At 40.7% G+C, this 17,861-nt stretch overlaps 3 annotated features.

The window, feature by feature from the left end:
• Positions 1,061-1,943: an enhancer, noted in NCBI's record as "H3K27ac hESC enhancer chr1:70837138-70838020 (GRCh37/hg19 assembly coordinates)". NCBI's record gives its function as "activates a minimal SCP1, AML or CMV promoter by ChIP-STARR-seq in primed H9 embryonic stem cells {active_cell/tissue: H9 hESC(primed)}" and the evidence as "EXISTENCE:reporter gene assay evidence [ECO:0000049][PMID:30033119]".
• Positions 1,299-1,499: a silencer, noted in NCBI's record as "peak282 fragment used in MPRA reporter construct". NCBI's record gives its function as "represses an SCP1 promoter by STARR-seq MPRAs in K562 erythroleukemia cells {active_cell/tissue: K562}" and the evidence as "EXISTENCE:reporter gene assay evidence [ECO:0000049][PMID:32103011]".
• Positions 1,944-2,825: an enhancer, noted in NCBI's record as "H3K27ac hESC enhancer chr1:70838021-70838902 (GRCh37/hg19 assembly coordinates)". NCBI's record gives its function as "activates a minimal SCP1, AML or CMV promoter by ChIP-STARR-seq in primed H9 embryonic stem cells {active_cell/tissue: H9 hESC(primed)}" and the evidence as "EXISTENCE:reporter gene assay evidence [ECO:0000049][PMID:30033119]".

Genomic DNA, 17,861 nt, shown 5'->3' on the forward strand with positions numbered 1-17,861 from the left:
GCACACTTTAAAAGGATTAAAGCCCGTTATCACTCACCTGTTACAGCATGGCCTTTTAAAGCCTATAAACTCTCCTTACAATTCCCCCATTTTACCTGTCCAAAAACTGGACAAGTCTTACAAGTTAGTTCAGGATCTGTGCCTTACCAACCAAATTGTTTTGCCTATCCACCCCATGGTGCCAAACCCATATACTCTCCTATTCTCAATACCTCCCTCCACAACCCCTCTACAACCCATAATTCTGTTCTGGATCTCAAACATGCTTTCTTTACTATTCCTTTGCACCCTTCATCCCAGCCTCTGTTTGCTTTCACTTGGACTGACCCTGACACCCATCAGCCTCAGCAACTTACCTGGGCTGTACTGCCACAGGGCTTCACGGACAGCCCCCATTACTTCAGTCGAGCCCAAATTTCTTCCTCATCCATCCATTACCTATCTTGGCATAATTCTTCATGAAAACACAAATGTTCTCCCTGCCAATCGTGTCCAGCTGATCTCTCAAGCCCCAACCCTTTTTACAAAACAACAACTCCTTTCCTTCCTGGGCATGGTTGTATACTTTTGCCTTTGGATACCTGGTTTTACCATCCTAACAAAGCCATTATACAAACTCACACACACAAAAAACCTAGCTGACCCCATAAATTGTAAATCCTTTCCCCACTCCCCTTTCCATTCCTTAAAAAACAGCCCTAAAAGCAGCTCCCGCACTAGCTCTCCCTAACTCATCCCAACCCTTTTTTCATTACACACAGCTGAAGTGCAGGGCTGTGTGGTCGGAATTCTTACACAAGAGCCAGGACCGCACCCTGTAGCCTTTCTATCCAAACAGCTTGACCTTACTGCTTTAGGCTGGCCCCCACATTATTCTGGATACCACACCTGACCCCCATGACTGTATCTCTCTAATCCACCTGACATTCACTCCATTTCTCCATATTTTCTTCTATCCTGTTCCTCACCCTGATCACACTTGGTTTATCGACGGCGGTTCCATCAGGCCTAATAGCCACTCACCAGCAAGGCAGGCTATGCTATAGTATCTTCCACATCTATCATTGAGGCTACTGCTCTGCTGCCCTCCACTACCTCTCAGCAAGCTGAACTCATTGCCTTAACTGGGGCCCTCACTCTTGCAAAGAGACTACGCATCAATATTTATACTGACTCTAAATATGCCTTCTATATCCTGCACCACCATCCTGTTATATGGGCAAAAAGAGGTTTCCTCACTACACAAGGGTCCTCCATAATTAATGCCTCTTTAATAAAAACTCTTCTCAAGGCTGCTTTACTTCCAAAGGAAGCTGGAGTCTTTCATAGCAAGGGCTATCAAAAGACGTCAGATCCCATCACTCAGGGCAACGCTTGTACTGATAAGGTAACTAAAGAAGCAGCTAGCATTCCAACTTCTGTTGTCATGGCCAGTTTTTCTCCTTCTCATCAGTCACTCCCACCAACTTTCCCACTGAAACTTCCACCTATCAATCTCTTCCCACACAATGCAAATGGTTCTTGAACCAAGGAAAATATCTCCTTCCAGCCTCACAGGCCCATTCTATTCTGTCGTCATTTCATAACCTCTTCCATGTAGGTTACAAGGCACTAGCCCATCTCTTAAAACCTCTCATTTCCTTTCCATCGTAAAAATCTATCCTCAAAAAATCACTTCTCAGTGTTCCATCTGCTATTCTACTACTCCTCAGGGATTTCTCAGGCCCCCTCCCTTCCCTACATAACAGGCTCAGGGATTTGCCCCCGCCCAGGACTGGCAAATTGACTTTACTCACATGCCTCAAGTCAGGTAACTAAAATACCTCTTGGTCTGGGTAGACACTTTCACTTATTGGGTGGAGGCCTTTCCCACAGGGTCTGAGAAGGCCACCATGGTCATTTCTTCCCTTCTGTCAGACATAATTCCTCAGTTTGGCCCTCCCACCTCTATACAGTCCGATAATGGACTGGCAATCGTATTCCGTGGAACCTTCATACCCCTTAACTATCCTTAATCTTCAGGAAAGGTAGAACAGACTAATGGTTTTTTAAAAACAGACCTTACCAAGCTCAGCCTCCAACTTAAAAAGGACTGGACAATACTTTTACCACTTGCCCTTCTCAGAATTTGGGCTTGTCCTCGGGATGCTATAGGGTACAGCACATTTGAGCTCCTTATTGGATGCTCCTTTTTATTAGGCCCCAGTTTCATTCCAGATACCAGCCCAACTTGGACTGTGCCCCAAAAACTTGTCATCCGCACTATCTTCTGTCTAGTCATACTCCTATTCACCGTTCTCAACTACTTGTAAATACCCTACCTTTGTTTACACTGCCGGTTTACACTTTTCCTTCAAACCATCATAACTGATATCTCCTGGTTTTAACTCAAACCACCACCCTTAAGTCTCTCTTAAAGTGGATAGATAATCTTTGCTCACAAGGTACACTCCAATACTTTCACCCTGATGAAGTCCTATTTTTTACTTTTATACTCACTCTTATTCTCGTTCCAGTTCTTATGCCACCCTCTACCTCTCCCCAACTATCTCCACCATGCTATCAATCTCACTCACTTTCTCCTAGCCATTTCTAATCCTCCTTTAACAAACAATTGCTGGCTTTGCATTTCTCTTTCCTCCAAAATCGCCGAGGCCTCGACTTACTCACTGCTTTAAAAAAAGGGGACTCTGTATATTTTTAAATCAGAAGTGTTGTTTTTACCTAAATCAATCTGGCCTGGTATATGACAACATAAAAAAACTCAAGAATAGAGCCAAAAAGCTTGCCAACCAAGCAAGTAATTATGCTGAACCCCCTTGGGTAACCTCTAATTAGATGTCCTGGGTCCTCCCAATTCTTAGTCCTTTAATACCTGTTTTTCTCCTTCTCTTATTCGGACCTTGTGTCTTCTGTTTAATCTCTCAACTCATCCAAAACCATATCCAGGCCATCACCAATCATTCTATACAACAAATGCTCCTTCTAACAACCCCACAATATCACCCCTTACCACAAAATCTTCCTTCAGCTTAATCTCTCCCACTCTAGGTTCCCACACCACCCCTAATCCTGCTCGAAGCAGCCCTGAGAAACATCGCCCATTATCTCTCCATACCACGCCCAAAAATTTTTGCTTCCCCAACACTTCAATACTATTTCATGTTATTTTTCTTATTAATATAAGAAGATAGGAATGTCAGGCCTCTGAGCCCAAGCTAAGCCATGATATCCCCTGTGACCTGCATGTATACATCCAGATGGCCTGAAGCAAATGAAAATCACAAAAGAAGTGAAAATGGCCGGTTTCTGCCTTAACTGATGACATTCCACCATTGTGGTTTTTTCCTGCCCCACCTTAACTGAGTGATTAACCTTGTGAAATTCCTTCTCCTGGCTCAGAAGCTCCCCCACTGAGCAACTTGTGACCCCCTCCCCTGCCTGCCAGAGAACAACTCCCTTTGACTGTAATTTTCCATTACCTACCCAAATCCTATAAAACGGCCCCACCCCTATCTCCCTTCTCTGACTCTCTTTTTGGACTCAGCCTGCCTGCAGCCAGGAGAAATAAACAGCTTTATTGCTCAAACAAAGCCTGTTTGGTGGTCTCTTCACTGGATGCGCATGACAATGTATATGCAGATTTTTAATATTACTATGCATTTTGTGTCTGTGAAATATTTATAATAAATTTTTTAAGTCTTCAATAGAGCGCTAGGCAAACTCTAAAGAATCTAACATGGATTACAAATGCCTTCACAGTTTTGCTGACCTTGTTTATGTCTCTAATCTTGCCACTTCCAGTTTGTACACTATAGTTTGGTTATTCACATTTATTCCTCAGAAGATCTCCAAGCCTGTGCCTGTACTCTGCTGTTTCTTTTCCTCTTCTCATTGAGTCTCACCTTAGTTGTCAATATCTTCTCTGGCACCTTGTTTGTGTCTAGGTTAAGTACTTCTATGTACTCCCAGCATATTTATTGTTTTCTTTTTCTTTTCTTTTTTTTTTTTGAGACGGAGTCTTGCTCTTGTTGCCCAGGCTGGAGTGCAGTGGCGTGACCTCAGCTCAGTGCAACTTCCGCCTCCTGGGTTCAAGGGATTCTCTTGCCTCAGCCTCCCAAGTAGCTGGGATTATAGGCACCCGCCTCCATGCCCTGCTAATTTTTTGTATTTTTAGTAGAGACGGGGTTTCACCATGTTGGCCAGGCTGGTCTCAAACCCCTGACCTCAGGTGATCCATCCACCTCAGCCTCCCAAAGTGGTGGGATTAAAGGTGTGAGCCACTGCACCCGGCCCAGAATATTCATTACTTTCACCGTCACTTATCACTTATATATTGTAATTGCTGACTTTCTTCTCTGTATCTCCCATTACAATATAAGTGTCAAAAGCATGCAGACTGTGTCTTATTCACCCTAATATCCCTGGTCCTGGCTTAGTGTCTTGGACTAATGGACCTTCAATAAATATTTGCTCTGGGAATTCATTAATAATGGGATGGTTTATTTCACATTCTTGAGGCAGCTATAATTTTCCTTTTAATGTGAAGCCATTTTATAATCAGTATTTAGATGAAATCATAAAGTCCTATCATCCCATAGTGTGTAGATTAGAAATCACTACTTGGAATAAAGTTCTCTCCTGTCATTCGTATTGCAAAGTTTGGTTTCAACATCATCTGTCACCTAAACTACATCTTGATTTAGTTATTAGGATTAGCGCATCATTTAAGTGTTCATCACACTCTACTTTTGCAGCTTCCAAAATGGTATTATCTGGGTCATTTTGAGGCATGATCAAGAGTAGAAAAATAAGTGAAGCGATCATACAGTTAATGAGGGCATCCTGTTGCTAAAATCAAAACCTAATGTGGATCCTTGACTTGTTATGAACATTTGGCTCAGGGAATGCAAAGGGCTATTATTTGGAGAATAGTGATTGACAGTCAAGAGACTTATATGGTGGCCCTTACTACAATGGACTTACCATTTTCCGTAAGCCGGTCCTTAGTGTAACAAGTACAGAAATCTAATTTTGTCAGCACATTAACAATGGGTCTATTTTCCAAGGATGGGCTCGAGATAGGCAAGAATAAAAGACTAATACATCAAAATTCCAATCTAAAATTAATGGTTGAGTGGACTAGAATCACTCATCAGCACATCCCTGTAGATAAACTGCATACAAAGTCAAATAAGCAGAAGGCTGCTTGGTGAACATGGGATACAGAATAAGGGGAGTCAGTTGTTTCATTATAATGTTTAATGGCATTGCATTTTGAAAGCCTGATGTGTCCTGTTCCATGGGAATTAAATTTCTGTGACTCAGATGAAGACTCACAAAACCTGAGAAGCACCATCCCCCTCTTCACCAACCATACCTTGCCAGATGGCCAGTGACAACTTGGGCCTCTGTGACCCCTTTTTCTTTGCATTCCTGGATGAATAACATCCCATCCCCCAATCTTATATGCATCTGCTTGTCAGTTTTTTCTTTTTGTTATATTAGAATCTTCAGTGTGGTTATTGCTAAGTTGGTCCCAGCAAGCCATTATGTCTCTTTAGATGATTTTGCAGATCTCTATTCCAATTCACTGTGTGATCATTTCAAATTTTTAACTTTCAAATAACTTTGCTTATTTCTATGATTCTTATATTTTGAGGAAGCATTTCACTTCAGTGTCTGTACACTGAAAACACAAAAGCAGAATATTTTTAATGTTGCATCTTAGGGAATAGGAATTAGGAATATTACTAATGATGGGATCTACTCATTCGAATATTTATTAGACATTTTAAACTATTCTTCTGCATGGGCATTCATACACACACACACACATAGATGCACACAATATAGGGCAATTATTCTTAGTTCTTAAAGCTTTTCTAATTAGCTCTTAACCACAGATAACACAAGAGGAGGGGGAAGGAGAGCAGGAAGAAAAGGGGAAGGAAAAGAAGAAGGAACTTAATCATCCAGATTTATATTAAACAAAATATATTGCAACGTGTGTATAGCTTCAGTTTGACGAATCAGCCCCATCCAGCTGTTTTTTTGTTTGTCTGTTTTTGAGACGGAGTCTCACTCTGTCACCCAGTCTAGAGTGCAGTTGCCCAATCTCTGCTCACTGCAAACTCCGCCTCCCAGGTTCAAGCGATTCTCCTGTCTTAGCCTCCCCAGTACCTGGATTACAGGCGTGTGCCATCACGCCGGGCTAATTTTTGTATTTTTAGGAGAGACGGGGTTTCACCATGTTGGCCAGGCTGGTCTTGAAATCCTGACCTCAAGTGATCTGCCTGCCTCGGCCTCCCAAAGTGCTGGGATTACAGGCATAAGCCACTGCACCCAGCCCCCATCTAATTTTTAATACCATCTTTTCCAAGTATTCTTTCATACTAACAATGATGTTTTTCTTCTTCTTTTTTTCTTTTTTCTTTTTTCTTTTTTTTGAGATGGAGTCTCCCTCTGTCGCCCAGGCCGGAGTGCAATGGTGCCATCTTGGCTCACTGCAACCCCCACCTCCCACGTTCAAGCAATTCTCGTGCCTCAGCCTCCCAAGTAGCTGGGACTACAGGTGCACACCACCATGCCCGGCTAATTTTAGCAGAGACAGGGTTTCATCATGTTGGCCAGCCTGGTCTCAAACTCATGACCTCAGGTGTTCCACCTGCCTTGGCTTCCCAAAGTGCTGGGATTACAGGCGTGGGCCACTGCCCTGGCCTTTTTTTTTTTTTTTTTTTCCAGACAGGTCTGTCTCTGTCGTCCAGGCTGGAGTGCAGTGGCATGACCTTGGCTCACCACAGCCTTGCCTGCTGGGTTCAGGCAATTCTTGTGCCTGAGCCTCCCGAGTAGCTGGGACTACAGGTGCCCACCACCACGCCTGGCTAATTTTTGTATTTTTAGTAGAGACGGGGTTTCACCATGTTGGCCAGGCTGGTCTCAAACTCCTGACCTCAGATGATCCACCTGCCTTGGCCTCCCAAAGTGCTGGGATTACAAGCGTGAGCCACCAGGCCTGGCCTAACAAGCATTTTCTATTGTTCTTTATTTCTGAATTTTCAACAAGTCCTAGATATGTGCTGTTGTTTCTTTTGATGCTCTATTGTATGCTGTACAAGGATTATTTCATTTTGAACATAATTTCAGTTTGATGCTATGGCTATTTATCATATGTGTTGTTTTGCTGTACCTATTTTTTTTTTTTTTTTTGAGAGAGAGTTTCACTGTTGTCACCCAGGCTGGAGTGCAACAGCTTGATCTTGGCTCACTGCAACCTCTGCCTCCTGGGATCAAGCAATTCTCCAGCCTCAGCCTCAGGAGTAGCTGGGATTACAGGTGCTCGCCACCATGCCCAGCTACATTTTTTTTGTATTTTTAGTAGAGAGGGGGTTTTGCCATGTTGGCCAGGCTGGTCTTGAACTTCTGATCTCAGGTGATCCACCCACCTCGGCCTCCCAAAGTGCTGGGATTATAGACGTGAGCCACCATGCCCGGCTTGTACCTATTTTTTTTTTTTTTTTTAACATCCAGCTTATGTTACTTCAGCATCTCCTTACTTTCATCTTCACTGAAGCCTTTTTTTTTTTGCTACGAAAATGAAAAATTTAAATGTCATACAACATTGTATTAGATTGATTTGCCTTTTTTTTTTTTTTTTTTTGAGACGGAGTCTTGCACTGTCACCTGGGCTGGAGTGCAGTGGCACAATCTCAGCTACCTACAACCTCCACCTCCTGGGTTCAAGTGATTCTCTTGCCTCAGCCTCCCAAGTAGCTGGGACTACAGGTGTGCACCACCACACCCAGCTAATTTTTGTATTTTTAGTAGAGACGGGGTTTCACTATATGTTGTGCAGGTTGGTCTTGAACTCCTTGACCTCAGGTGATCCACCCACCTTGGCCTCCCAAAGTGCTGAGATTACAGGTGTGAGCCACTGCACCCAGCCCCCAAAATTGTATTAGATTGAAAAGACATAAAATTACTCTGTTAAATTTCTATAAAAGTTTCTTAATACTTATTCTTAACTTCTGATCAGTAACAAATAGTTCTTTGACGGGTACTGATGTCCAAACTACATTTTGAGTAGCACTATCCTGTAAAATCGGGATTATTATTTCTATTTTTTGTTGAAAACAACAACAACAACAACAACAGAGGCTTGCATAAGTAAAGTAGCTTACTTGCATTTGTTGTTTTCCTTTTTTGTTTGTTTGTTTTTGAGACAGAGTTTAGCTCTTGTTGCACAGGTTGGAGTGCAATGGCGTGATATTGGCTCATTGCAACCTCTGCCTCCTGGGTTCAAGTGATTCTCTTGCCTCAGCCTCCCAAGTAGCTGGGATTACAGGCGTGTGCCACCATGCCCAGCTAATTTTTGTATTTTTAGTAGAAACAGTGTTTCACTATATATTGGCCAGGTTGGTCTCGAACTCCTGACCTGGTGATCCACCCACCTCGGCCTCCCAAAGTGCTGGGATTACAGGCATGAGCCACTGCACCTGGCCCAGCTTACTTGCATTTATTCAGATAATTAATGGCAAAGACCAAATTTGTACCCAGGATTGATTCCAGGTTCTGAAGTTTTAAATAAGCATGTTATAATAATTCTGTTCTACAATGGTTCGACAAGAATTCTAAACTTGTGCTGCCCACTAACTGCTAGCCACACATGGCTTTTTAAATTTAAATTGATTTAAATCATATAAAACTAATTTTATTTCTTCAGTTGCACTAGTGACATTTCAATTACTGAAAAGCATGGATGTCTAGTGGCTACCATATTGGATAGTACAGATAGCAAGCATTTGCATCCTCACAGAACGTTCTATAGGACTGTCCTGCTCTAGAATATCAATAATTTATCTTAGAGATCATTTGTTTAACTTATAAGTTTGTATTAGATACTTTTGGGTTGCCTGGTTGGCACACAACAACACTCCCTCCCTCTTCATGAAATTTCCCTTTCATCCCTAAACAATAAAACAAGGCAGGTTTTATCTTCTATGACTCTCTGACCCATCTCATCAGTCATGGCTGATTGAACCAGCTAAAGCCAAGCCAGATACATGTGTCTTTTATCTTTAGGAGAAAATGTATAGAGATTTTTAAGTAATTTACTTTGGTGAAAAAGTAATAATAATTTACTAATTTGCTAATTAGCTAATCCCAATTATGTTTGGTTTCTTTTGTTTGTTTATTTTGTTTTGTTTTTTTGAGACACAGTTTCACCCTGTCACCCAGGCTGGAGTGCAGTGACAGATCTTGGCTCACTGCAACCTCTGTCTCCTGGATTCAAGCGATTCTCATGCCTCAGCCTCCCCAGTAGCTGGGATTGCAGGTGCACATCATCACGCCTGGGTAATTTTTTGTATTTTTGGTAGAGGCAGGGTTTTGCTGTGTTGGCCAGGCTGGTCTCAAATTGCAGACCTCAAGTGATTGACCCACCTCAGCCTCCCGAAGTGCTGGGATTACAGGTGTGAGCCACTATACCCGGCCCCAATTATGTCTTAAGAGGAAAAAAAAAATAAAGGCCTACAAAGGGAAATTGGACCTAGGGTCTCAAAGAATACTCGGTCTCAGGTGAAACAACTATAGTCAAAAGATGAGGCTGCATTGTAATAACATGGGGGCATGTAGCACTCTGTGGATGAGATGAAGGAGGGGTAGTTACCAATGAAGAGGAACTAGTCATGGGCTTTGTACGTGTACTTATAGCCAACAATGAGTGTGTACTTACTACCTACTAAACTTTAAAAAAAAAAAAGATTCCATAGAGGGTGACTGATTCTAAGTCTTAGGGTAGAAAAAAAAAATGGAAATTTATTTATCTATCTATTCATCTGTCTATTAATAGTATTACTAAAAAGCAAGGATAATTTCCAAAATTTTAGTGACAATGTTTAAAGGACAAAGGAGACATCTTAAAGCAGTTCCCACCCACCACATTTGAGTATCAAAATTATTATTATTATTCTTAATTGGAACAAATTGCATATATAAAGCTCATAAATTAATAATTATACTGGAAAAATGAAGATTAGTATAATATGTGCAAAAGTTAGTTTTAATATAAAAGTGTGAATATAATAGGAGATATTCAATTTTTACTGATTTTTTTTTGAGACGGAGTCTCATTCTGTCACCCAGGCTGGAGTGCAGTGGCACGATTTCAGGTTCAAGTGATTCTCCTGCCTCAGCCTCCTGAGTAGCTGGGATTACAGGCATGCACCACCAAACCCAGCTAATTTTTGTATTTTTAGTAGAGACGGGGTTTTGCCATGTTGGTCAGGCTGGTCTCGAACTCCTGACATAGTGATGCGCCCACCTCGGCCTCACAAAGTGTTGGGATTTCAGGCATGAGCCACCGCACCGGGCCAATTTTTACTGATATTAATTTAAAAAGGAAACATTAATATATAGGTGTTCTAGAACATGTGGAAAAGATGATAAAAAGAAAAAAACACATATTTTAAGTATGCATCTGTTTATAAAATATAGGTGTTTACTTTTTTCTAGCTGTATAAACAAGATATAACTACATAGAGAACTCTAACTGACCCAAATGCTTCCTGAAAAAGTAGATACTATGTTGGAATCAAATAGACTGATCAGCCCCATTGGTAATATATGATAACCAAGCAGAAAGTAGATTTAGCAAGTGATTAGTACTAGTGGTCATAATAACTACTTTGAAGGGGATTCATATAATATTCCAAAATATTATATAACCAGCTGTCCCAAATATAAGAATTAACTGAAAGGTCGATCTTCTGGTAGATAAAAACCTTTAAAAGACCTTTAGATGGCCCTATTTACTGAATTATAAGTGAGATTCTGATATGGCCTATAAAGTTTCCAGTATTTGTTTCAAACCAGATCCAGTATATTACAATGACATCACCTTACAGAGCAGAGTGGGTCAGTGATTGTATGAATAGGGAATTGTCATTCACAACCAGTTGGGTTGTGCTCAGACTAACTTCTTTAGGCAAGTTATTTGACTTTTCTGTATCTCAGTTTCCTTACCTATAAAGGAATTATAGTAGTTTCCATTTCATATGGTTATTATGAGGATTAAACAAGTGAATACATATGAAGCACTTACAATAATGCTTTGTACATAGTATGTGTTAAATATTGTGATTTCTGGGAAAGACCCAGACATTTTACTGAAAACACTGAAATCTGTATAACCGTGTGCATTTACAGCTTCATTGAGAAGACTCATGAAGCTTTATTTTAAAAAGTACACTACTTAAATTACTCACAGCTCAAAAAAACTAAGCAAATGGCCAGGTGCAGGTGGCTCAAGCCTATAATCCCAGCACTTTGGGAGGCTGAGGTGGGCAGATCACTTGAGCTCAGGAGTTCCAGACCAGCCTGATCAATATGGCGAAACCCCGTCTCTACTAAAAATCCAAAATTAGCCAGGTGTGGTTGCGGGCACCTGTAATCCCCAGCTACTCAGGAGGCTGAGGTAAGAGAATTGTTTGAGCCTGGGAGGCAGAGGTTGCAATGAGCCAAGATCGCACCACTGCACTCCAGCCTGGGCGACAGAGCAAGACTCTTCTCAAAAAGAAAAAAATAAAATAAATAAAAGCTTCTGTCTAATGTCTGTCTAATGACCATGGCTTGGATATGAGTTCCATTGGACTATACAAGGCTCTATCCTGACTAAGAACCAGTGAACCGCAACTGATATGAGATTGTTGAAGGATGAAGCTTTTGGGAGTGCAGGGAGGTCAGAAGAATATGGTACGTTTATTGCAACCTTAGAGAGTGTGAAAATACTATTTGGCAAACAAATGCAACACCTTATTGAACTGGTGTCAGGACTCACGCAGTGAATAACAAACCACCACCCCTAATTCCAATACTAGTGGCCAACTGAGAGGATAAGTGTAATTTTTTCAGCTGTTGGCATGCCCTGCATAGGTTTCTCCTTCAGGGATCTTTCCCCATCTCGGATAACTTTCTCAGGATTTAGCTCCCCCACCCTCCAACCCTCTATCCGTCTTCCATCTTCTCTGCTTTCCAAAGAGGGCACTCTCAGGAACTTCAGAGTACTTAGGTAGTGGGTTGAGTTGATCTTTTACAGTAATTCTTTATCTGGGCAAAATGTGTTTGGTTAATCTTACCTGAAATCTTACAATAACATAATTTCAGGGACTTAAAGGAAACAAAATGGCAATGACAACCAAAGAAACAAAGTAAAAAATTGGACAATAGCAACCCTTAGCACACTATCACAGGACCCTAAAAATAGGTGACTTTTCCTTAACTTGGGAATCTTCATTGTTCTTTGTAGAAATAAAAGTATTACTCTCATTCAGTTATTGACCAGTCTTTACATACTGGATCTGGACTGTGGATTCTGTAAGTCAATCTCCTGTAATTGTTCACTGCCTGCCAATGAACCCTGCCTTCCACTTACAGTTGCCTCTGGGAATGTATCCATGTTCTGTTTCCTTAAGTACTTTCTCCTTCTACTAGGTTTTTTGTGGTGAATCTTTAACTTTAGATCAAATTCTCACTTCCTCCTTGATTTTGCAGCCTGCTGTCACCCAGGACCTTGCAACTAAGGGCTGCTTTGCACTAGTTCCTGTGTCTTTCACTGGTCTTGTTAGTTATTCCAAGTTTATGGCAACATTTATTGAGGTATTACTACATAGGCTTTGCCTATATTAACTCATTTATTCCTATGAGTTAGATACCATGATTACCCTCATTTAAAGTTAAGTAAATTGGGCTTCAAGATTAAAAAAAAAGGTATACATGGTAGAACCAGGTTTGGGTTGGGCAGTCTGGGTTCAGAGTGATGTGCTTATTATTGTCTTCACCCCAGCAAGATACAGTCTATTCTGCTATAGCATATGTATGTAACAACAATTAGCTAATACACAATTGGCATATAGGACATCATATCAGTATAATTTGAAAGTTGAATAAATTCAGAGCAATTTTTTGTAGGCAAAGGGAGCTGTATAACAATAATAGAATTATAACCTATTGCAGGAGTGATAAAATACCCTCAGCTTGGATGCTGCACAGGCAGGAATCCCTTCAGGTCTATTTTAAGAAATAGAAAAATGAGTACTTTGTTTCATAGCTCCTCCCCAGGGAGGTGCACCTCTAGCCTTGCTGAACTATCAGCTTGTACAGGTTGTACTTTCTCCTCTGCATACCTTTACAGATGCCCCTCTATAGCTCAGTGGTCTTCCATCTACACTGTCTTCACAACTGCATGCCAGCATGCCAGCATTTCTACTCTATTGCTGTTTTGCATTTTTAGTATCCCCTGAAGCAGTTTGCAGATACAACGAGCTGCCTACTTGACCGTCCAAAGTTTCTCAGGGGAGGAGGGTGAGGGGGGACCAATTGTTTTTTGAGTTTTTTTAATAGAAGTTTGGCCATAGATTTGCATAGGTTTTGAGTGGTCTTCCCCAATCCCATTTTGTTATTTTTATTGCACAGCAGATTGTGAGGCTCGTCAGTGGTATATACGTCATACATAGGTTATAGCATCAACTCAAACACCCCCAATTAATCATCATTCTAAACTTGTAATTATCATCCCAAGCTTAGCATTTTCATCATAATAAATAAATTTTTATGGGGTCAAGGCACTAGACTTATTGTTTGTTTTATTACGAACAATATTATGAGGGTATTTTATCACTCCTGCAATAGGTTATAATTCTATTATTGTTATACATCTCCGTTTGCCTACAAAAGTGATACAAAATTTATCTAAAAAACGGTTTCTGCCAGTAAGATGCTTAAAATCTACCAATGAAGAGAAAATATGTACATTAAAAAGACAAATAGTAAGGTTGTTAGTGATAGACAAACATGACAGCTAAGCAAAATGTATGGTACCTTTATGATATTGTAGGAGAGACACTAAACTTATAATCAGACAAGCTGGATTTGAATCTAGACTCTATCACTTGCTTTGTGACCCTGGAAAAACACGTAAACTTTATAGGCACTAGTTTTCTTAGCTTTAAAACAGGAATAAGTCTAGGCATGGTGGCTCATGCCTGTAATCCCAGCATTTTGGGAGGCTGAGGTAGGCAGATTGCTTGAGGCCAGGAGTTCAAGACCAGTTTGACCAACATGGCGAAACCCCATCTCTAGAAAAAATACAAAATAAAATTAGCCAGGTGTGGTGGTGCAGGCCTTTGGTCCCAGCTACTTGAGAGGCTGAGCCATGGGAATTGCTTGAACCCGGGAGCTGGAGGTTGCAGTAAACCCAGATCATGCCACTGCACTCCACCCTGGGTGACAGAGCGAGACTGTTTCAAGATAATAACAATAATAATAAAATAAAAATAAATAAAACAGGAATAATAATACAAAGAATAATTAAAAATTAAAAACAGGAATAATAATACTTGTTTTACAGAATTTTGCAAGAATTAAATGAAAAATATATGTCAAAGTGCCTGACACTTTCAATGCAGGCACTGAATAAATGTTAATTTTCTTTCTTTCTCTCAAACAGTGCACAAACATCATTCAGGTGTCTCAGTGTATGTTTCTAAGGGCTGTACATAAATACAGCTGGGTCATTATTTTGTAGTAATTAAGAGTATGTTATAGATCTGTGCCTTCAATGCTCAACAATGAAGTCACTGCAAAGTCAATCAGGGTTTTTGATCACTGGGAAGTCAAAGTTGTGTCCTCCTGACTCTGTCCCATTCTTCTTGGTTTTTGTTCTTTGTTTTTCATTGCGGCTTTATTGAGATATAATTTACATACCATATAATTTACTCATTTAAACTATACATTCAATGTTTTTTCATATATTCAAATAATTGAGAATCATCACCACAATCAACTTTAGAACATTTTTTTTTTCCAGATGGAGTTTTGCTCTTGTTGCCCAGGTTGGAGTGCAGTGGTGTGATCTTGACTCACTGAAACCTCCGCCTCCTGAGTTCAAGTGATTCTCCTGTTTCAGCCTCCCAAGTAGCTGGGATTGCAGGTACCTGCCACCATATCCGGTTAATTTTTGTATTTTTAGTAGAGACGGGGTTTCGCCATGTTGGCCGGGCTGGTCTCGAACTCCTGACCTTAGATGATCTGTCTGCCTCAGCCTCCCAAAGTGCTGCGATTACAGGCGTGAACCAGTGTGCCTGGTCCCAGAACATTTTTATCACCACAAAAGTAAATACCGTATGCATCAGCAACCACTCACTATTTGCCCCCTGTATTAGTCCAATTTCACACATCTATAAAAAAACTACCTGAAACTGGGTAATTTACAAGCAAAGGAGGTTTAATTGACTCACAGTTCTGCATGGCTGGAGAGGACTCAGGGAACGTACAATCATGGTGGAAGGTGAGGGGGAAGCAAGGCACTTCTTACATGGTGGCAGGAGAAGAGAGAGAGCACAGAGAAAACGGCCACTTTTAAACCATCAGATCTCATGAGAAAACTCTTATTATCACAAGGACAGTTTGGGGGAAACCACCGGCATCAGCCAATCACCTCCTACCAGCCTCTCCCTAGACACATGAGGATTACAATTGGAGATGAAGTTTGGGTGAGGACACAGAGCCAAGCCATGTTACCCCCAAACCCTTTATGAATAATTCTATATAACCTGGAAAAACCCCTGAATGTCTCACCATTTCCTCAGCTTAGTCTAAGAACCTGCCACATTTTGAAATGTGTTCTTTTCTTTCTAGCATGGTTTGGATAGATATGTACAGAATGGATGGAAACAAGGCAAAGATCTTATACCAGCCACTGGTCAATGGCTAAAGTGCTGAAGGTGATTGAGCAGAGCAAATAGGGAGCATGGTCTGGTAGCTCTGTTTTCAGCCTAAGGTCAATTCTTAAGGACTCAACATGCAACCAGAAAGGAATCTGGTGAACAGCTATCCTGATGACCAATAAAATTGACTCACATGTGATATTCAATATGTATGTATAACGCTTTACTGACTCCTAAACAAATATCTACTTCCCACTTGTGTATCTAACCTGAAATACAGATGGGAAGTAGACATTTCTGTCTCCTTGTTTTTCTTACTAAATTCTTTAATTTTTCTGTAACCAATAAAATTGACTCATATGTGATATTCGATATGTATGTATAACTCTTTACTGACTCCTAAACAAATATCTACTTCCCACCTGTGTATCTAACCTGAAATACAGATGGGGAGTAGACATTTCTATCTACCTGTTTTTCTTACTCAATTCTTTAATTTTTCTGTAATTTTTATAGGTAGATCAAGTATTATGGATAAGCGTTAACATTTGGAATCACAAGACCTGGGTTTGAGTTTGGACACATTCATTTACTTATTAGTTGTACAAATTCAAGCAAGCTACTTAACTGCTTTGAGCCTCAGGTATCCATCTGTATCATGAGATCATGATAATACTAATCTCAAAAGATTGGTGTAAATATTATATAACACAATGTGCATGAGAATTATTTGAAAATTAAAAGTACTATACAAATGGCTAGGTTTTAAAAATTATTATTGCTGTCATCTGCACTTAAAAAAGCTATATATGTCAATCTAAAATATCAGCACCAGTTTTTCCATGTTGATGACACAATTTTTTTCAACTAAATTAACACCTCATCTCTACTGTTTCATTTGACAAGAATAATTGAGTTCCGCAATGAACCAAATTATTCCTCCCTTGAAAAATACGAAATGTACTACTGTATTTTCTTTTTTAAAAAATAATTTTTAAAAGTCTACACCCTTGATATCTGATGCACTATTGTATTCTCAATTGGTAAGTATTGAGAAAAAAATAAGTTTATCTTTTTTGTCATTGACCCACACTAGTCCTCTTTTGAGGTGAATGGGCCCAAGACAGCCAGGTAGAACAAGTGAATGGTTTTAAATGAATTTGCCTTCTAACTTCAGCTCACTCTGTGGTAACTTTTTCTTTAGACTAGAAAATTGATGAACATTTGAATTTTTTTTTTTTTTTGAGGCAGAGTCTCACTCTATTGCCCAGGCTGGAATGCAGTGGCACAATCTGGGCTCATTACAACCTCTGCCTCCTGGGTTCAAGTGATTCTCCTGACTCAGCCTCCCGAGTAGCTGAGATTACAGGCAGGCACCACCATGCCTGGCTAATTTTTTGTATTTTTAGTGGAGACGGGGTTTCACCAGGCTGGCCAGGCTGGTCTTGAACTCCTGACCTTGTGATCCGCCTGCCTCTGCCTCCCAAAGTGCTGGGATTACAGGCGTGAGCCATTGCACCTGGCCGAACATTTAAAATTTTATATGAACCAGGAAACAGGTCCTCAGCAGACACAGAATCTGCGGGCACCTTGATCTTGGCTCTCCCAGCTTCCTGCACTGTGAGAAATAAATTTCTGTGGTTCATAAGCTACTCAGTCTATGGTATTTTGTTACAGTAGCCTGAGCAGACATGGAGCACAAGCAGACTAAGATATAGGGTCATTGCTGAATGCCCCAGATGTTTGAGGTCTTTACACCCTGGTATGAACTCAAATGTCTCCCAGGATTATGAGCTCTGGGAACTGCTCAGCTTTCAGCTACCTAGCAATTGTTCTTTACCTAGCCTTATGGAGTATCAGCAATGCATGTACAGCTTAGTTTTCAACCAAAGACACAAGGAAATGACTTCTAAAGATTTCTAGAGCTCTTCCTCTGAATAATTTCTTCCCCTCTGGTACTCTGCCAGGCCTGTGGATTCTGATCTCTGCCTCCTTAACTAAAGGAGACCATCATGCTCTGCTTGGGATCCCTTTCCTGCACTGTGGTCTGGAAGGTTTCTCCAGGCAGAAAGCTAGGATGACAGTAGGGTTCATCCTATTTGTTTCCCTTTTCTAAGATATCATAGTTCCACATGGTCT

The sequence above is a fragment of the Homo sapiens genome, chromosome 1 (genome assembly GCF_000001405.40).
Source record: "Homo sapiens chromosome 1, GRCh38.p14 Primary Assembly".
NCBI classification, from domain to species: Eukaryota; Metazoa; Chordata; class Mammalia; order Primates; family Hominidae; genus Homo; species Homo sapiens.